The sequence below is a fragment of the Homo sapiens genome, chromosome 8 (assembly GCF_000001405.40).
Source record: "Homo sapiens chromosome 8, GRCh38.p14 Primary Assembly".
Lineage (NCBI taxonomy): Eukaryota > Metazoa > Chordata > Mammalia > Primates > Hominidae > Homo > Homo sapiens.
This window is the reverse complement of record NC_000008.11, coordinates 130169577-130191474: the sequence shown is the minus strand read 5'-3', so window position 1 is coordinate 130191474 and position 21898 is coordinate 130169577. Positions and strand designations below refer to the sequence as shown.

Sequence of the window (21898 nt, the reverse complement as noted above, 5' to 3'; positions counted from 1 at the left end):
GTGTAGTGTGTGGCACAGAGTAGATATCTTATTAATGATGGATGGATGGACAGGCTGACAGTTGAATACACTTATGTGTGAGTAAAATCATTTCTTGAGTGAGGGGACCCACAAACCTTTCCATCTATAATCTGCTCCTGCAGGTCTCTGCAGTCTTGGGTTCCACACCTACTAAAACTTGATTTTACCAAGATTACTTGGGGTCTCCTTGAAGACAAGTAGGTAAAAACTCTTCTCAGTCCTTGTTTTGGTTACTCCTTTCACACCTGACTCTGCCTCCCTTGGTTCCCTCCTGCCATTCTTCTCTGCAGCTGGGTAGCATCTCCATCTCCATTTCCTTCTCCTTTGTAGATTCCTCTTTGTGCCATCTTAAAATCAAGGAGACTCAGGCCACTGCCGCAGAGCAGTGGAAAAAAAAAAAAAAACTATTTCCCGGTTATAGATTGCACTTCCTAAATATCTCATCTTTTTAATGGAATCTAGGCATTAAGGATATAGCTGTGAACAGAAAAGTCAAAGTCCCTGTCCCCATCGAGGTTATGTACTAGTGAGGGAGACAGAATACACAAGCTGGAGGCATCACATTACCTGACTTCAAATTATACTACTAAGCTGTAGTAATCAAACCAGCATGATGCTGGCATAAAAACAGATGCATAGGCCAGGTGCGGTGGCTCACGTCTGTAATCCCAGCACTTTGGGAGGCCAAGGAGGGTGGATCACAAGGTCAGGAGTTTGAGACCAGCATGACTAATATGGTGAAACCCCATCTCTACTAAAAATACAAGAATTGGCCGGACGTAGTGATGCATGCCTGTGATCCCAGCTATTCAGGAGGCTGAGACAGGAGAATCGCTTGAACCTAAGAGGTGGAGATTGCAGTGAGCAGAGATCATGCCACTGCACTCCAGCCTGGGCGACAGAGTGAGACTCTGTCTCAAAAAATAAAAATAAAAATAAATGCATAAATCAGTGGAACCAAATAGAGAACCCAGAGATAAATTCACATGCTCACAGTCAACTTATTTTTGACAAAGGCACCAAGAACATACATTGGGGAAAGAATATCCTCTTCAATAAATGGTGCTGGGAAAATTGGATATCCATATTTAGAAGAATAAAACTAGACCCTATCTCTCACCATATACAAAAATCAAATCCAAATGGATTAAAGACTTAAATCTAAGACCTGAAACTGTGAACCTACCAGAAGAAAACTTTGGGGGAAACTCTCCAGCACATTGCTCTCAGCAAAGATGTCTTGAGAAAGACCTCAAAAGCACAGACAACCAAAGCAAAAATGAGCAAACGCAAGTGGGATCATATGAAGTTAAAAAGCTTCTGCACCACAAAGGAAACAATCAACAAAGTGAAGAGACAACCCACAGAATAGGAGAAAATATTTGCAAATTACCCATCTGACAAGGGACTAATAACCAGAATATATAAGGATCTCAAATAACTCATAGGAAAAAAATCCAGTTTTAAACTGGGCAAAAGATCTGAATATATATTTCTCAAAAGAAGACCTACAAATGGCCCACAGGTTTATTAAAAAATGCTCAACATCACTAATCATCAGAGGAATGCGAATCAAAACTTCAGTGAAATATCATCTCAAGCCAGCTAAAATGGCTTTTATAAAAAAAACAGTAATGGATGCTAGCAAGGATGCAGAGAAAGGGGAACTCTCATACGCTGTTGGTGGTAATATAAATTAGTACAACCACTATGGAGAATGGTATAGAGGCTCCTCAGAAAACTAAAAAGAGAACTACCATAAGATCCAGGAATCCCAGTGCTGGGTATATACCTAAAAGAAAAGAAATCAGTGTATCAACAAGATAACCCGTACTCTCATGTTCATCGGAGCACTATTCACAGTAGCCAAGATACGGAATCAACCTAAGTGTCCATCAACAGTTGAGTAGATAAAGAAAATACAGTATATATACACAATGGAATATTATTCAGCCATAAAAAACAAAGTCATGCCACTTGCCACAAAATGGATCCAACATTATGTTAGGTGAAATAAGCCAAGTACAGAAAGATAAGTATTGCATGTTCTGTCTCATGTGGGAGCTAAAAAAGGAAATTGATCTCATAGAGATAGAGAATAGAATGATGGTTACCAGAGGCTGGGAAGGATAGTGGGGAGGAGGGAATAAAGAGGGATTGGTTATTAGGTACAAAAATACAGTTAGATAGAAGTAACACAGTCTAGTGTTAGGTAGCACAGCAGAGTGACTGTAGTTAATGATTTTTATTATATATTTCAAAATAACTAGAGTGGAATTGAAATGTTCTAGCACAAAGAAATGATAAATGCTTGAGGTGATGGAAACCCCAATTCCCTGATTCGATCATTATACATTGTACGCTTGTATCAAATTTCACATGTACTTCATAAATACAACTATTATGTATCCATAAAAACTAAAAATTAAAAGATAAATCTGAGCAAAAAAAAATCCAAACACAGTAATTTCAGATAATGATACATGCTATAAAAAAATGTGAAAAGGAAATGAGAAAAGCCCTCCTTACTCTGACAGAAGCAGTTGAAGAAAATTCACCGTAAGAGCTACAATTTTGGCAGAGGTGTTAATGGAAGTGCTAAAATGATTTGAGGAATTATTTGTACACATATACGTGTACTGTAGTATAGTGTTTAAGAACACAAGCTCTGGAGCTACACCACCTAAATTCAATTTTCTTTTCTTTTCTTTTTTTTTTTTTTTTTTTTTTGAGAGAGTCTCTCACTCAGGCTGGAATGCAGTGGTGATCTCGGCTCACTGCAACCTCCGCCTCCCAGGTTTAAATGATTCTCCTGCCTCAGCCTCCCAGGTAGCTGGAACTACAGTTGTAGACCACCATACCTGGCTAATTTTTGTATTTTTAGCAGAGACGGTGTCTCCCCATGTTGGCCAGGCTGGTCTCGAACTCCTGACCTCCAGTGATCCTCCTGCCTCAGCCTCCCAAAGTGCTGGGATTACAGGCGTAAGCCACCATGCCCAGCCTACACTGCCTAAATTCAAATCTTAGCTCCTCACTCACATGCTTTATGGTTCTGCACAAATGACTCCACCTCTGTTCCCTCAGCTGCAAAGTAGTGATAATTGTGTCGCCTAACCTACAGAGGTGTCATGTAGGTTCAATGAAATAATGCATGGAAAGCCCTTCAACAGAGCCTGGTGTGTGGAAAATGCTCAGTCAATAGTAGCTGGTTTTATTGTTCATGTGGACTTTATTTTTTAACCATCTCCCATCTTCCCTTTGCTTTTTCAGCTCCAGGGTTTGAGCCACAATGTGATCTTCACCTTGGATTCTTTGTTAAAAGGAGACCTAAAGGGAGTCAAAGGAGTAAGTGTTCAGAAATTTGATTTTCACTTTAACTTGAAAGGATTAATTTTTTTTTTCCTCTTTCAAGATCATAGTAGTACTTGTATTTGAAAGACTCTTTGAACATTTTCAGCGTTAAAAATGCTCTTGGAAAATGATCATTGGAAAAAATGTGCCTCTTCACATAATGGTATTGACAGAGGAATGAGATTAGGCACTTTCAAGAAGATTGGGAAGGTCCTCCATGGGTGGGAGAGAGAAGCTAAGCCCGAGTCTTGGCTCCCACAGTGTGACCACTGGGGACCCAGCCCTTCTGAACCTCGGGCTCCTGCTTCATCAGCATGACCAGGGCGCTTACCCTTCTTTCCTCTCTCAGGCTTCTTGTGTATATAACACATGGTTTGATGTTGGCCAGGCACAGTGGTCATGCCTATAATCTGAGCACTTTGGGAGACCATGGCGGCGGGTAAATTGCTTGAGCCCAGGAGTTCAAGACCAGCCTGGGCAACATAATAAGACCCCCATGTCTACAGAAGAAGTACAAGAATTAGCCAGGGGTGGTGGTGAGTGCCTGTAGTTCTAGCTACTCAGGAAGCTGAGGTGGGAAGATCAATTGAGCCTGGGAGTTCAAGGCTACAGTGAGCTGTGATTGTGGCACTGCACTCCATTCTAGGCAACAGAGTGAGACCCTGTCAAAAAAAAAAAAAAATGGTGTAACGTGCATAAAGTGAAGTTCCCAGTGTCCTATAAAGGAAACAATTCTTGCTAAGATGTCATTTCAAAACTATTTATTAATTTTCAGCAAAAGTAGTTGCAATTTTAATCTCATTTTCTCGTTTCTAAGGATCTCAAGAAGCCATTTGACAAAGCCTGGAAAGATTATGAGACAAAGTTGTAAGTGGTTTTTTGTTTAGAGTTTTTGTTTGTTTTTTAATATTGTTGTGAATTTTGGACAACAAAAAAAAAAACTTAACTGGAAAAAGGACAGAGCCCTTAACTAATAACTTCTCAACAAAAACCTGTTTAGTATATCCTCTAGCATATCCTTATTAGGGCTAAGAGGTTGGGTACACTGACCTAAAGTGGTTGCATGTCCTGTGCTATTTGTCTGAAGGGAGAGGTACTTTTACTATCAGTTGTTCTCGCATTTATGGCTGCTAGTACTATCAAGTTATAGGGCTATGACTCTCATTATAGATAGCATGTAATTATGGACCATTTATGTTTCTGTATAGTATAAAAATTGGGAAATAATAGAAGTAACAGCTAATACTGTGACATCTTGGTGCCTGCCAGGACGTGCACTAAGTGTTTTTTGCATGTATGACCTCTTCACAGGAAACTATCTGTACAGCTTTACTCTCTGTTTATATACATCAGGGAAACTGAAACCTGGAGAGGCTAAGGGGCTCATGAAAGGCTAGAAAGCTAGTTATGTGTCCAGCTAGCATTCACTCCAGGTCTGTCTTGACCACAGAGCCTCAGCATAGCATGGGCACTGAAGTCAGACCACCAACCTCGTGGAGTTCTTGTTAGGGATTAGGACAATAAGCACTTTGCAGGGTGCTCGGCCCATCTCGATACTGTGTGTATCATACCACATTCCTTTATTATTATTACCCTGAGACATTTGTAACACCAAGCAGTAGGGTGGGGTGGGAGGAGATATGTATTTTTAAAGCTTTTAATAAAAGTCTTGGACAACTATAAACATAAGAGAATAAAACATTTCTGTAGGCAGCAATAGCAGCAGGATAAAAACAAGCAAAAGAAAAACAAATTCAGGATTAAAAAAAGTAGTTTTTCCCAAACTACTTTTGTAATTATGTGAAAAGTGCATTGTTAGGGACTTGCTGTCTTAGGAATATATCCGTACATTGACAGTTCTAAATGCAGCAGAGAACAAAAACGTTCTTAAAATGGTCAACTGATAAATGAATGCTGTGGGCTATGAGTCTTTCTGTATGAAAAGTGGGTCATGAGTACTCAACTTGTAAGCGAAGTACTGCCGCTGCCCAGAGACAACAGTGCATGAACTTGGAATGGAATAGAATTAAGTACTTAGAAAATGGAAGGACAAAGGGGGAAGAAAAAAACCTTGTTCTACACTTGTAGAATATGTCTTCTTTGTAGGATATAGGAACAACGAAACATGATGTAATATGTGCTTTGTCAACTAAAGTACTACCAATATTAGGTAGTACAACTTTATTTATATTTTTTAAATCTCTGTTGGCTGAAGACCTAGAAGTATCTGGTGCTTAGTATTATAAATGACTTAGAATATAAAGCATTCTAAGATGGTACAGGTGCTCTTCCTTGTACTTCTCACTCAACATATGAACTTGTCTGGCTTTTCTTTTTTTTTCTTTTTCTTTTTCTTTTTTTTTTTTTTTTTTTGAGGCGGAGTTTCACTCTTGTTGCCCAGGCTAGAGTTCAGTGGCTCAATCTCGTCTCACTGCAGCCTCTGCCTCCTGGGTTCAAGCGATTCTCCTGCCTCAGCCTCCCGAGTAATTGGGATTACAGGTGCCTGCCACCAACACCCAGCTAATTTTTTGTATTTTTAGTAGAGACGGAGTTTCACCATTTTGGCCAGGCTGGTCTCTAACTCCTGGCCTCAGGTATCCACCTGCCTCAGCCAAAGTGCTGGGATTACAGGCGTGAGCCACCATGCCCGGCCTGGCTGTTCATTTTTCTGTATTGTCCTCTACAATCTAAATTTGGTGAAGACCACAACCACATTATTCTTATATATGGTGTTATTCTACCAGTGCCTAATGACTCATAGTTTATGTACTATTTCATTGAAGAAATAAAAGAATTATTCAGACCTGGAAATGTATAACAGGAATAGCAAGTTGAGTGCCTCCTGAATTTAAGACCTTATGAAGGCAGGTTTTGTTTGTTTGCTTAGTAAATCCCTGTCAACAATTTTCCTGAGATAGACTTCTTTGTCACTAAAGTATAGTGGTGCAGGAAAGAAAGAAAACAAGCATTTGTCTCTTTGATGTACTGGGACTTATGCTGTTATAAGTTAGAGAAAACAAAATGACTCCACACAAAAAAGTTCATTTATTAGTTTTGATAATGGAGAAGGCTGGACATTTTCTGTGGTCTTCTATTTGGAACTCTGGAGGCAGTGAAGTTTGTAATGATTTAGATCACAGACTTAGAAATCATTACCAGTTTTGTGACATTGAGCCAAAATACTTAATTTTGATGATCCTTACTTGTAAAATAATATAAAAATTACCTACTTCTCAGGGTTTTTGTGAGGACGAGATAAGGTAGTGTGTTGAAGCAGTTGTCACAGTGTTTAGCATAGGGAAGTCACACAATAAATAGTTTCTACTAAGTTCTCTTTAAGAATCAAATTTCATTTGGTCAAAGTGATAAATGTACGTAAACTAAAACATCAGATAGTGCTTTTACTAGTTAAGACTTACTCTGTCAGCATGTAATGGAAACCCCAAATAACAGTGGCTTCAACATTGTTAAAGTTTATCATAGAACAGAGCATTCTAGGATGGACCAGGTACCCTTTGTAGCACTTCTCACTTATCTGTATTGTCCTCCACAATCTAAACTCAGTGATTTTATGTCATACCTAATGGTACAGGGTTCTTTACAAATCATGACAGGGAAAATATTAAGTAGGCAACAAATGTGCTTCTAATGGAAACACAGTGGCCTTCTGCCTGCCCCTCTTGATCCTGTTAGTCCCTCCCCTTTTTCCAACTCTTTTACCTGCTTCCTGACTTATCTACACGTTCCTCAGTATTTTCTTGCTCTTTCTAGCTTTAGCTGTGATGTATTGCTGTGGTAGACGAGGATTACATTCCCTTGCATAGACACCCCATCACTTTCGCACCCTTGTTCATCCATTGTGGTTAATAGAACAATTTTTATTAAACTAGTTTCAGTGTTTACATTTTTATAGGTATAAGCATTCATTGCTAATCTGAATGGTAGAATAGGATTGAATTTCTGTTCTTAGAGTACAGTTGTTTACTTTTTCTTAATGACATAATGGCCTCATTTCTTCATTTGCTTAGTTCTGTGTGAATCTTCTGTGAATTCTTATCTGCTCTAGCAGATGTCAGACACCTGTCAATAATATTTCTGTTTATAAAGTACATTATGTATTTTATTAGCATGATTATATATCTATTAGTATTAAATTGTGTCAGCTTCTTCTTTCCTGGAGACATCCCTTTGCAGAGCTCTTTAGATCAGCAGTACAGCTGCCATCCTGGGATGGCGTTTGACTCTCTTTAGTTTTAAATCTAATTCCTCTTGACTAGTATAGTTCCATATTTTGGTGGCCCATTACCTCCAGTAGTTTTCAGAGAACAGCTCTAAAGGAGGCAAAGAGTTTAGGTTTTGTGTTTCCAAAACTATCTTCATTCTGCCACCACAAAAAGTGATAGTTATAAATCATTTTTATAAAAGTGGTAAATCAGTATAAAATACTGATTTTATAATAATTTTCAGGCACGGTGGCTCATGCCTGTGGTCCCAGCACTTTGGGAAACCAAGGTGGGCAAATCGCTTGAGGTCGAAAGTTTGAGACCAGCCTGACCAACGTGGCAAAACCTTGTCTCTACTAAAAAATACAAAAATTAGCTGGGCGTGGTGGCGGGTTCCTGTAGTCCCAGCTACTCAGGAGGCTGAGGCAGGAGAATCGCTTGAACCCAGGAGGCAGAGGTTGTAGTGAGCCGAGATCGGACCACTGCACTCCAGCCTGGGCAAGAAAGCGAGACTTTGTCTCAAAAATAATAACAATAATAATAATAATTTTATCTCTAAATGTTGAAGGCATTGTTCCATTGTTTTCTACTTTCCAGTATTGCTAATAAAAAAAAAAATCTGATACCTTTCTGATTCCCATTTATTTGTATGTGATATGTGGTTGTTGTTTGTTGCATTTATTTTTGGTTAGAGAATGTAAGGTCTTGTCTCTGTAAAAGGTTTTACGAAGAGTCTTCAAGTGCCACGGTATGTGCATTCTGTTTGCAATCTTTCTGTTTACAAGTTTGAGTTCATCACTCCTGGAAACTTCTTGTAATTCTTCCTGTTTTTTCTTTTATTCCTCTTTCGGGAATTTTCATTATATAATATTTGACTTCCTAGACAGTTCTTAAAATTTTCTTCTCTTTTCTGTTCTATTTATATTATATTTTAGGTTATTTTTTCAGTGTTTTTTCCCCACTGTTTCAGTTAGCTTTTTTATTTTGGCTGTCATTTTAAATTTCTAAGAGCTCTTTTGCTCAGTTGGGTTTTTTTTTTTTTTTTTTTGCCTTTTTATAGTTTCTATTTCTTGTTTCATAGATGCAATATTTTAGCTGAAGATTTAATGACATTTTGTAAAATGTTTTATCTGCTTCCTTAGTGCCTCTGGTTCCTTCCCAACCCTCCCCCTTTTGTTATTAATACTTTCACTCTCACTTTCATTTTGGAGACTTATAATCTTTGGGTGCATTCATATTTCAGAGCAAGGTACCCAAAGACTAAAAGTTTATATGCATCATTAGAGATCTGCTTTCTCCAAGAAAGCAGAAAGCCTTCTTTTTAGGTTTCAAGTTTTAGGATGTGAAGGCAGCTCTTTTATTAGGGGTTTTCCAAATGTCAGTGTCTGAGGTTTGTCTCAGAACCTTGCAGTTCTTTCACGCTCCTGCTTAGTAATCACATATGGTGGCATTTTGGAAGCTATGTAAGTGAGGGAGACAGAGAACCCTATAGTTTGAGGTGCTCTCCTTCTCTCTTCAGCCTTGCTCTTCCAAATATTTATTGAATTCCGTCATCCTTTTTTGTCTTCAATTCTTTCTTTGGGAGATTATCTGTTCTTATGCCTTTACTCTCATTTTAGTGGGATCACTGGAGGAAGAAGAAATAAAGACATGTATGTTTAAGTCACCATGGTAAATTGAAAGGCTTATTATTAAGTTATGCCTGTCCCTCCATATTTCTTCTCTTCCCACCCACATCAGTGGAGAAAGAGCTGAGATTTATTCTTTCTGTTAAAATCCCTGTTATGCCTCTTCGACTGCCAAGGTGGCATGATTAAAGAGTTTCTTAAATATAATAGCATTAGGGTATTAGAGTCAATCCCGACTGGGTTTATAAGTAGATTTTTCATTGGCTTGATCGGTGGATTTTCCACTATGTCTGTGTATAGGTAAGGATGTTGGCTTTCTTCAGAGTTGGTTTCCCCTACCACCACCATAACTTAAAGAAGACTTGACGGATAAATCAGTTAGTCTTTGCATTCACAGCTAGAAATTACAGGTTGTTTCTGAAATTAGAAGTCCATTTTCAGGTTAATGATTTTTGGAAAGCAGGCTATAATCTTTGGTATTATTACCAGAGTATCATCTATCAGAGCCGAGCACTAGCGTCAGCTACTGTATGTTTAATGTGGGCCTTTCTTCTTTATCACCTCGTTTCCCCTGGCCCCCTCCCCACACACAGAAGAACATTGTGATAGGATTCCAAATTAGGATTTCTTCTGAATTTTGTACATTCCAGTGACAAGTGGTTGACTGATTAAAATGTATTCTTGGAATGTGGAAATAGCTCAAGTTTAGAGGAATGTTGGAAATTACCTTTGACTAAATTTTGTGCATACCCACAAAGACCCATTATATACTTTAATTATTTGAAATAATTGAAGTCTTGCAAGCTGTCGATATTCAAGGAAAGCCTCATGTCTCCAACTTTCTGATTCTTTTTTTATTATAAAGTGCTTTACCCAATAGTAGGTAAACTATCAAAATTTCTTCATGCCTACCAAAATTTAAGAGAATGTATATGAATCTGTCATGTGTAAGATCAAAGGAAAAATGTAAGAGGTTTCCCATATGAAAATCCATACAGTGTTTGTGTTCTGTTTGATTGTAGGCTTTTACTTCTGATTGATTCTACCAACTTAAGAATTCTTGCCTTTTAACTTTAGGAATTAATAATCAGTGGCTTTTGTTAACGGGAAGACATGAGTGTGGTTTGTTTTTAGTAGACTTCCTTCTTGAGCAGAAGATACAAGAGAGTTCCCATATGCTCCCTCCCCCCACACATGCACAGCCTCCCCCGTTATCACTGACCCCCACCAGAGTGGTACAATTGATACAACTGATGAACCTACATAGACACATCGTCACCCCAAATCCATAGTTTGTATTAGGATCTGCTGTTGGTATTGTACATGAGTGTATTTTTTTTTTTTAAATAATGACATTGGCTTTAATTACAGTACAAAAATTGAGAAAGAGAAAAGAGAGCACGCAAAACAACATGGGATGATCCGCACAGAGATAACAGGAGCTGAGATTGCGGAAGAAATGGAGAAGGAAAGGCGCCTCTTTCAGCTCCAAATGTGTGAAGTAAGAATGGACTTTTCCACCATTTGCCTAGAATTATAACAACTGTGATCTTTTCCTGCTAGTCAGCAGTCTTTATGCTTAAAGGCAGACTCTGTTTGATTATTAGAGAGGAAACTGTTTCTTAAGGATTCTAATCTCCATTTTTCTCCAAGCCTTTTGGGAACCTGCCATTGCACTGTTGTCTCATATTTTGAGCCTTGGCCCTATGGGGCTGTTTAAGCCAAAACAGGATTCTTTGGTGAGAACCTTAATGTTGCTTGTGAGTGGTTGTGGGAGGAAAACATTGGTGAGAGGTAACACTGGTGAATATTAAGTTTTATTGGTGTATGTTTAGAGCATGTTTTTTTAACCATATGTCCAGTTTGAATGAAAACTCAAATGAAGTTGTCATTAAGAAAGTCGATTTCACGAAAAATGCAACAAAAAGCATGCTGCCTTAAACTTAGAGCAGTGGTTCTCAAACTGAATTCCAATTGAACATGAACACTTCTTGACCTAGAAACCAACCTGTTCTGACACGGCTGTTGAGTAAGAGTTTCTTTTGCAGTTTTCAGAAAATATTAAAGTGGAGAACTTTGTCAAATTTTTTTCCTTCCCTAGATTTTTTTCTCCTTTCCTTTTCCTTCTTCCTCGCTTTCTCTCTCTATTCCCTCCTTCTCTTTCTCTTTCCCCCTTCCCCTTCCCCTTCTCCTCCCTCCCTCCCTTCCTTCCTTCCCTCCCTCTCCTTTCTTTCTCTCTCTCTCTTTCTCACCTCTCTCTCTCTCATTCTCTTTCTCTTTCTCTCTTTTTTCTGTTTCATAACCCTTTGGCTCCTTGAGTTTGTGTGCTCATGAACCTTTTTACAGAATAAAACAAGTGAGCAAACAGTGTCAATAGAAAATCTTGACCAGTGCACAGTACAAGTACACTACTGTGTTTAGTTACCTCAATAAATTAGTGGGTTATTCTTACTTTTATTCTTTAATTTTTGAGTAGTAAAAATTCTTTCTGATTCACCTCTTTTTCCTAAAGTTTCAATATCCTATGGTATATTCTTTGATGAGAATGCTATTCTGCGTACTTTCTGCAAAAAACAATCAATCTTTCCAGTTTTTGACCACATAAACTATACGTTTGAGATCCACTGCACCAAGGGGAAATAATAATTCTAGAATGTTTTGCTGTGTTTTATTTCTGCTTGTCGAGTAAACTAATCATAAAATAATTTATAAAATGCTAACACTCTAGTCAATTTGTTTTGAACACTTTGTGACTGCGAAATCAGCATTCTCTAAACTGTCTAAAGGACACCAAGGCTTGGTAACTTGTGCAGATTCAGGGGTGATGTTCAGCCACCTGAACCCATGGCTGAAGAGCCCCATCTGGAATTAATCAACGCAAAACCCTGTTTTATTTTCACAGTATCTCATTAAAGTTAATGAAATCAAGACCAAAAAGGGTGTGGATCTGCTGCAGAATCTTATAAAGTATTACCATGCACAGTGCAAGTGAGTAGAATATTGCAAGCATTGTTATTAGCCCAATTACTGCCCCCTGTACTTCATTATTTGTCTTAATCCTCTTCATATCTTTTCTTCATCTCGTGACTAAATAAAGTGATATAATGACCTTTTTCAGCTAAATGGATAAGAAATAGTGTCTTCCATCTTCAGTGTTTTATACAAATCAGTAGCTCAAATTAGGGCTTAAAAATATTGTCTTCCTTACAAGAAGACAAATACTTACAAATACTTCTTCCTAAATTTGATCGCCTGTGGAGCTCTTATTACAGATGCATGATCCCCTGTCACTGAAGAGTCCTTTCTGATGACCCCCTACCCTGACTCTCTTACTTGGCATTTTGCCTTTTTTTTTTTTTCCTTTGAGACGGAGTCTCACTCTGTTGCCTGGCTGGAGTGCAGTGGTGCAGTCTCGGCTCACTCTAATCTCCGCCTCCTGGGTTCAGGCAATTCTTCTGCCTCAGCCTCCCCAGTAGTTGGGATGACAGGCGCACGCCACCACACCCAGTTAATTTTTTTTTTGTATTGTTAGTAGAGACTGGGTCTCACCGTGTTGGCCAGGATGGCCTTGATCTCCTGACCTCGCGATCCACCTTGGCCTTGGCCTATTATTGCACCATTTGCACCATGTATTTCCACCTGGAGTCTTCAGTTTTGTTTTGTTTCATCTAAAATAAGTGAATTTAAATAGTTGGGGCATTAAGAATACTTTGCATTTGTACATGGATTCCTATATAATTTGTGTTACATTTTGAGAAATACCATTGTTCTACACTGGCACCATTTTTGTTTGCCTATATTGCAGGGCTATCTTTTTGTTATGTTTGTGATTCTGTGGTGCCACATTTGCTTGTTTACTTATTGGGTTAACTTTCATGGGTTTTCTGGTAGAGTCTGTGTGTGAAAATGTGCCAGCTACACATGGAGACTCTACCAGAAAAGTAAAGTCTGTATTAGTAAAGTCTGTATTCGTTGATGGAAGTTATACCGAAAATAATGGAAGGACCTTCCAGAAATGGAATGGACAGCTCTCATAAGCAAAATAATGTAAAGGTCGTTTGGACTAGATAAAATACTCTCAAAAAAGTTAAATTCATAATTTCCTTTGATCTTTCTTATTCTTTTCAATAGTTATATTTAGAAAGATACCTGTATTCAACTGAAACATTTAAGGAGGTCAGCATTAATATTATGTCAAAAGCACAAAGCTTGGGTTAGACAAATTAGATGAGTCAACATTTTGGCTCTGCAGCTGGTTAACTGTATTCTTAATCAGGTACTTCACTAAACCTCAGTATACTCACTCGTCAAGCTGGGTTACGATTCTGTAGCAACCACCTTAGGGTTTTTGTAAGGCTGTAAAAAGTGAAAAAGAATGCATGTGGAGTGCTTAGCCCAGTGCCTGCGACCTTGTATGTGTTGACAGCTGTGATGATTCTAAGTGGCATTTAAAATTATTTATTTATATATTTTATTGTCTAGGATATTTCTCTTAAGGAAAACCTTTTTGATGATCAAATTGTTGTTTACATAAATTTGATGATAACTTTTTTTCAAAGTAAATTGTACCTTATATAAGTGTCTTTCAAAAATAAAAATAATATATTGAAGTAGAAAGTTTTCACCTTCTTAAGATTAAGTTTGTTTATTGAAGACCTGGATTAACTAACTTACTTTTGGCTTTGTAGTGTGGTTGGGCAGTTATGAAACTTTGGCCTGTGTTCTAATGGTCCCTGATTTTAGTATTGGGTGGAATTTTTTATCTTTCATCAAATTTAGTTTTCCTGGAAACATTTAATTCCTTTGAAAGTTTTAAAGAAATAAGTGAATCTCTCAGTCTCCTGAATTCTGCAGTACTTTGGCAGCAAAACTGATTTCACCTGACTTTAGAAATCTATTTTCACGTTAAATTCTCTAAGTTTATAAGGAAGAGTTTGGCCTACACAAACAAGAGTTTTTCAAAATAGAAGATGCTTTGTAAAGTATACATATATTAGCCTTCGCTAGTAATGGTGATGCTAACTTGTATAGCTAATGCATCCTCCCTTTATTCTCTTATTCTTTGCTTTTTCCCTTTCCACAAATATGTATTAGTCTTTTACCAAAGATCAGCTACTGTGCCCAGTTCTGGGACAGAGATAAAGCAAGGCTTTTCCGCTCAGGAGTTAATTGTCCAGGTATAGGAAGTAAGTCAGATCCATTATTAATCATAATGGGGCTGGACAGTGACGGGTACCATGGAGCATCAAGAGGAAGAGAGACGGCTGGGCGCGGTGGCTCACGCCTGTAATCCCCGCACTTTGGGAGGCTGAGGCAGGTGGATTATTAGATTACAGGAGTTCAACACCAGCCTGACCAACATGGCAAAACCCCGTTTCTACTAAAAGTACAAAATTAGCCAGGTGTGGTTGCGCATACCTGTAATCCCAGCTACTTGGGAGGCTGAGGCAGGAGAATCGCTTGAATCCAGGAGGCAGAGGTTGCAGTGAGCCGAGATCACGCCATTGCACTCCAGCCTGGACAACAAGAGCAAAACTCTGTCTCAAAAGAAAAAAAAAAAAAACAGGAAGAGAGACATCTGACCAGGAGGACTGAGGAGAAGGTATTAGCACCTTGAAGGAGGTGGTGGGACTTGTCATTGAACTTGGAGGATAGCTAGGATTTTGTTACCAGATTGCAATCTGGTAGACGAATGTCCCCTAGGTCAGAGAGAGATCATCAGAAGAAAACCCTACACAGTAAAAACCTTGTAGGGAGAGAGATGTTCTGAGACATCAAGTAGTAGAACCATGTTATAAGGGGATTCAACTAAAAGTTACTCCATGGTGGAACCCCAAGAACTCTATCATAGCAAGAAGCCAGAGTAGTTTCCTTTATTCTTTTCTACTTCTGTCAGTTCCTCAAAACTCTTAATAGGCATATTGTATGGACCTGTTAAGCATTCTCTACGTAGGTGTTTTTTGTTTTGTTTTGTTTTTAAGATTTATTCTTCTCAGTACTTACTTCAGTTCCCAAAGTGATTTTCAGTACAAAGTCAGCTGGTATTCAACAGTGAATTTGCCTAGGTAGTAATAGTCACGACACTTCCGTGTGGATGAAGCTACTACACTGGAGAAATAAATAAAGGGAACAGAAAAGAAGGGCTTTTAACTGTTTCCAACTCATTTCAGCTCACTCACTAATTACTGCTCAATTTCAGACATGAACATTGTCGGGAACATGCTGCTTTCCAAACAGACATATCCTCCAGTTCACCTGCTCCTTTTACCTCCTCACAAGTGTCATTATGACCTGCAGAGTTAACAGCATTTATAAACATTGCTTTATTATCTGTCATTTTACAGATAATAAGAATAATAGCTAACATTTACCGAGAGCTTATTTTCTGGGACGAATTATATAGGCCCTGCCTCTAAGTTCCTTACATGTGTTTTCTCATTTAATATTCCCAACACTCAAGAAGTTGTAGCTCAGAAAGGATCAGTATTTTGCTCAAAGTCATGTTCATTCATTTAATAAACGCTTAGTAAATGTGTCAAAGCAGACAAAGTAAGCACAGGAAACCAAATAAAAATATAAATTGGACTTCAAAATTAAAAACTTTTGTTCATGGAAGTATATTATCAAGAAAGTAAAAGACAACCCACAGAATAGGAGAAAATATTTACAAAATATTTTTCTGATAAGAGTCTGATATCCAGAATATATAAAAAAAACTCAACAACAGTCCAGGTGTACTGGCTCACACCTATAATCCTAGCACTTTAGGAGGCCGATGCAGGAGGATCACTTGAGCCCAGGAGTTCGAGACCAGCCTGGGCAACACAGGGAGACTCTGTCTCTACAAAAAATAAAAATAAAAAATTACCCTGGTGTGGTGGCACACGCCTATTTTCCCAGCTACTTGGGAGGCCAAGGTGGGAGGATCGCTTGAGCCTGGGAGATCAAGGCTGCAGTGAGCCATAATGACTTACTCCAGCCTAGGCAACAAAGCAAGACTCTGTATATTAAAAAAATTGTACACACACACACACAAATGGCCAGAAAAACACGTGAAAAGGTGCTCAACATCATTAGTCGGTGTTAAGTACAAATCAAAACCTCAATGAAATAGCACTTCACACCCACTGGGATTGTTGTAATTAAAACAAAAAAAGTCTTGGTGAGGATGTGGGAAGATTGCAACCTATGCATTGCCAGTAGGAATGTAAATGGTGCAACTTCTTTGGAAAACAGTTTGGGAATTTCTCACAAAGTTAAGCATAGAATTATTTAAATAAAATGTGTACATGAATATTTATAACAGCGTTATTTACAATAAACAAAACACGGAAACACCCAGATATCCATCAGTTGATAAAAGGTTAAACAAAATGTGGTATATCAAAATGGAACATTGTTCAGCCACAATGCTGAATGTGAATGAAATATTGATACATGTTACATATGGGTGAACATTTAAAACATTAATGCTAAGTGAAAGAAGCCAGACACAAAAGATGGCATATGTTCACTAACTCAGCAGCTCTCTAAACCCCTTTGTTTAGAAGATTTTATAGAGGTTTTATTACATAGGCATGATTGATTAAATCATTGGCTGTTGGTTATTGGCCCAATCTCCAGCCCCTCTGCCCTCCCCAGAGGTGGGAGGAGGGGTGGGGCTGAAAGTTCTGAACCTAGTTGCATGGTTGGTTCTGTAACGAGACTAAAAAGAGATTCCATGAATTGTGTATAATAGTGCGGTGACTGGTACAGAGTAAATACTCAGTTACATGTTAGCTGCCATTACTGTTACTGTTACTGGTTTTTGAAGATCTTGTTATGTTACAGTAATTTATAGAGAAAGTGGCTAAGAGATAAATGAGACATCCTCGAGGTAATTTTCCCTTCTATTTGGAAGATTTATGTGTTAAGTGTAGTGATAGGTAGTCAGAACTCACACATGTGCTTCACTTTCCAGCTAACAACACTTTTATCTGTAGTAGCTCATCTGATGCTCCTTGAAACTAGAAAATGTCCACTTTGGAGATGAGCATTCTGTTATTCAGACAGGGTGAATAACTGCCCAAGGTTACCACGTATAGTAAGGTTTAGAGCCAAAATATAAAATATGATATGGTTTTGACTCCTAAGCCTTTTTTTTTTTTTTTTTTTTTTTTTGGAGACGGAGTCTTGCCACTCTGTCACCCAGGTGGGAGTACAGTGGCGTGATTTCTGCTCACTGCACCCTCCACCTACTGGGTTCAAACATCAAGCAGTCCTCCTGCCTCAGCCTCCCAAGTAGCTGGGACTACAGGCGCATGCTGCCACGCCAAGCTAATTTTTTTTTTCTTTTTTTTTTAGTAGAGACAAGGTTTTACCTTGTTGCCCAGGCTGGTCTCGAACTCCTGAGCTCAGGCAATCTACCCATCTCGGCCTCCCAAAGTGTTAGGATTACAGGCGTGAGCCACCACACCCGGCCTTTTTATTTTTTTTTTTCTTTTTGAGTCAGAGTCTCACTCTGTCACCCAGCCTGGAGTGCAGTGGTACAATCCTAGCTCACTGCAGCTTCAACCTCCTGGGTTCAAGCGATCCACCCACCTCAGTCTCCCAAGTAGCAGGGACTACAGGCATGTACCACCACGCCCGGCTAATGTTTGTATTTTTTTTGTAGAGACAGGGCTTCACCATGTTGTCCAGGCTGGTCTCAAACTCCTGGGCTCAAGCAATCGTCCTGCCTTGGCCCCCCAAAGTGCTGGTATTACAGGCATGAGCCATGTGTGCAGTAGCCCTTGCATGTCCACTGAACTAGGACGAGCTAAAACAGAGAGAAGAGAGAAAGGAGGAACAGAGAAGCCACTGCCCTCTGTGAAATGTTTTGGCAGGTCGTGGTGGCTCTCTGTCTACCCTGTCCACAGCTGGAACTGTGACCCTCAAGGAGAAGAGAATGAAGCTCAGAGGGACAGTGCAGATGACAGCATGTCACCCTTTGCTTTTTATGGTGTCACTGATACATTGCTAATGACTGCCATGGTTATTTTATTCTTCTACAACTCGTCCTCCTTTCCTGCTCCTATTTCTTACCAAAACTAGAACTTGGCCCTCCCTGAAATTACTTTCTGCAAGGGGCTTGCCTCCAAATTGTTCATCCCAGAGAAAATGTTGACTCTTTAATTTTGTTTTAACTGATTAATACGTGATATCCTTAAGAAAAAAATTAGAAACTGAAGTTAAGGAAGAATGAAAAAACCCTGTAATCTCCTCACTTAGATGATTACTAGATTCATGTATCTGGTTTGTTTTGTTTACAAAAATGGGATTATGCTACAGATTAAAGCAATTATTACATTGATTTTTCTTAGAATCTGGGTATGTAACAGTCTGAATAATTGAAGCAGAAGGAAAGTAAATTTGTTTGGAGTCTTCAGCCTTGTAATTGGCAGGAATTTTCATTTTTATCAGTGCCATTTCAAACTAAAACAGTTCCGTCTTTCTCCCTAAAATTTATAATGTGTTCTTCAGTATTTCTTTTGTGCTGTTCAAATATTTGCTTATTCTTTTTCTAGAGTGTTGTCCAGTAGAACTTTCTGCTATGGTGGAAATGTTCATACTCTTTACCATCTACATGGTACCCATTGGCCACACGTGGCTACCAAGCACTTGAAATATGGCTTATGAGTCTTCAGGAACAGAATTTTTCATTTAATTTTTAATAGCCAGATGTGACTAGTGGCTACCATATTGGAAAACACAGATGTAGAGCATTCTCATTGAAACTCACCTTTAAAAAAAAAAATTGGGAAGAGATTTAATTAGTGTTCTCTTATTTTTAAAAAATGTTTATTTCAGTAGTTTCTGGAGTACAGGTGGTTTTTGGTTACATGGATAAGTTATTTAGTGGTGATTTCTGGGATCTTGGTGTACCTGTCACCCGAGCAAAACTCACATTTTTTTAAAGCATAAAGATTAAATTCCCTTTATGTTAAAAGTGAAAATGAAATACCTTTTCAAAAATATCTACAAAGAATCTGTATCCCTCTGCAAAGGAAACAGTTCCTTATATGATAAAGTTATGCAGCTCCGGGGAAGAGAATGATTTCTTGAGCACATGCTAACTGCCCCACACTTTGCTGGGTAGTTTCACATGTCCTATCTGTATTATTTGCCCATTTACACATGAGCAAACTGAGGCCAAGAGAAGTTAAATGACTTGCCAGAACACAGATTCTTGGTCATAATCATCTGACCCCAAAGCCATTGCTTCTTCTGTTGTAAGAAGTCCTGACAACATCCATCTTAAATTTAAATGCTCTACCTTCAAAACTTTTCTCCAGAAATCACTTAAGTGCAGTATCAGAGACCAAAACAGATTTTGCTATGATTAACTTTGTACCCATACTTTTAACTCCTGGGCATATATCCCTTCCTTGATGTAGAGGATGCTGGTTTCAGGTTAACACTTATAGATGGCCTGCTCTGTGCAGAACATTGCCAACCTCTCCAGGTCTGGCACTTAGGCCTGGGCCCACATGCTCAATGAAGCCGCTGCTTTGACTATCAGGTCTAGAGAATACTGCTTATGGGGTAGCAGCCGAGCTGAGTCTTGATAAAAGAGAGTTTGGCAGGCAGGTTGATAGGGTTTGGCTCCATGTCCCCACCCAAATCTCACCTTGAATTGTAATTTCCATAATCCCCACATGTCAAGGGCAGGACCAGGTGGAGTTAATTGAGTCATGGGGGCAGTTTCCCCCATGCTGTTCTCTTGATAATGAGTGAGTCTCAAGGAATCTGATGGTTTTTTAAGTGTCTAGCATTTCTCCTGCTGGCATTATTCTCTCTCCTGCCGCCCTGTGAAGAGGTGCCTTCTGCCATGGTTGTAAGTTTCCTGAGGTCTCCCTAGCCATGTGGAACTGTGAGTCAATTAAACCTCTTTTCTTTATAAATTACTCCGTCTTGGGTGTTCCTTCATAGCAACATGGGAACGTACTACTACACAGGTATAGAGGGGAAGGGCATTCCAGGCAGAGGGAATAGCATATGCAAAGGCTGAAGTGGGGAAGGATGGATTGAAAAAGAACAGGCAACTAGAAATAATGTAGCATGGCTAGACCTTGGAGTTTTTAAGGGAAAATGGTAAGAGATAAAACAGAAGTATTCAAGGGTCAGAACGTAAACTTTTAAAATTCTATACTGAGAAGTTTTACTTGCATCGCTATAGGCAGTGCCGAAAACCCAAATGCTAGAAAATAAGGGTTTAGGCCAGGCACGGTGGCTCACACCTTTAATCTCAGCACTTCGGGAGACCAAGGAGAGCAGATTACTTGAGTCCAGGAGTTGGAGACCAGCCCAAGCAATGTGGCAAAACCTTATCTTTACAAAAATAAAAATGAGCCAGGCATGGTGGGGTGCCTCTGTAGTCCCGGCTACTCAGAAGGCTGAGATGGGAGGATCACTTGAGCCCAGGAAGTCTAGGCTTCATTGAGCCACTGCACTCCAGTGTGGGTGACAGAGTGAGACCCTGCCGAGAGAGAGAGAGAGAGATGAGGCTTTACATGTGTTCATGTATTTTTCAGTTAAATGGTTAACTAAAAGGCCATTTTTATCTCTCATCCCTGTTGCTGAAAAACTTTCTAAAGGTAGTATTTTTCTTCTTTATTTCAATAAGGTTTCTTTGCCAAAGATGTCAGCCTTAAAAAATGTTGGAACTTGTAGGATTTCAGTAATCATTCTGAAGGCCACTTCTAATAGCCTGTGTTATTGCCACTGAACACTGAATATACATATTAAGCTTAAAATATGTCTCTTAAGATATGCCTTAAGCTGGGCGCAGTGGCTCACACCTGTAATCCCAGCATTTTGGGAGGCCGAGGTGGGCAGATCACTTGAGGTCAGGAGTTCAAGACGAGCCTGATCAACTTGGTGAAACCCTGTCTCTACTGAAAATACAAAAATTAGCCTGGTGTGGTGGCAGGCACCTGTAGTCCCAGCTACCTGGGAGGCAGAGGTTTCAGTGAGCTGAGATCACGCCGCTGCACTCCAGCCTGGGCAACGAAGAGAGACTCCATCTCAAAAAAAAAAAAGATATTCCTTAAAATGTCTTGATATTGCTTCATTCAGTCTGCTTTGTGTTGGGCCCACTGTGATAGGGAGATGAGACAGTCCTCATGCTCAAGGTCCTCGTTGTTTGTAGGGAGACAGCAAAACAGATAGTGTTTTGAGAAATAGTCTGCTGTAGGGACATGGTTAGAGAAGCTTCCAATAGGGCAGAGAAAATTCTAAACACGTTTTCTGAGGCATATTGTTTATTTTTCTAAACTGATATCAGAGACTGGGTTCCTGAGTGGAAGTGTGCCACCTGAGACAAGAAATCTTCACTTGCTGGTAAAGAGCGTGGATCAGAATCTGGCAGACCTGGATCTGAATTCCACCAGCTCTGCTGCTTACTAGCTGCAACTTAACCAAGTTTTATACATACTCTGTACCTCAGTTTTACAAATGGAGATGAGATTGAAGTGCTTTAATTCATTAGAGTTGTGTACATGAAATCACTTGTGTAAAGTGTTCAGTGCAGTACTGGGCATGTGCTAAATGCTCCACAGATATTAATTCTTGTTATTTTTCAGGTGAAGTCATGCAACCATGTGTTGTAGGATAAAGCTTTCCAAACCCGTTGGTATTATTGCTTTGAATTCTTGT

The 21898-nt window shown here is 39.1% G+C and overlaps 1 protein-coding gene across 24 annotated transcripts in view; it reads left to right on the top strand.

Annotated features, from left to right (window-relative positions):
• The window catches only part of ASAP1 (ArfGAP with SH3 domain, ankyrin repeat and PH domain 1), a 391571-nt gene that overhangs the window by 252200 nt on the left and 117473 nt on the right, over positions 1 to 21898 (top strand). For all 24 annotated transcript variants that reach the window (XM_047421810.1, XM_047421806.1, XM_017013468.2 and 21 more), the window contains 4 exons: positions 3292 to 3366; positions 4190 to 4239; positions 10595 to 10724; positions 12126 to 12211. In XM_047421810.1, the coding sequence (XP_047277766.1) occupies positions 3292 to 3366; positions 4190 to 4239; positions 10595 to 10724; positions 12126 to 12211 (341 nt within the window). The remainder of the gene's footprint in view (positions 1 to 3291; positions 3367 to 4189; positions 4240 to 10594; positions 10725 to 12125; positions 12212 to 21898) is intronic.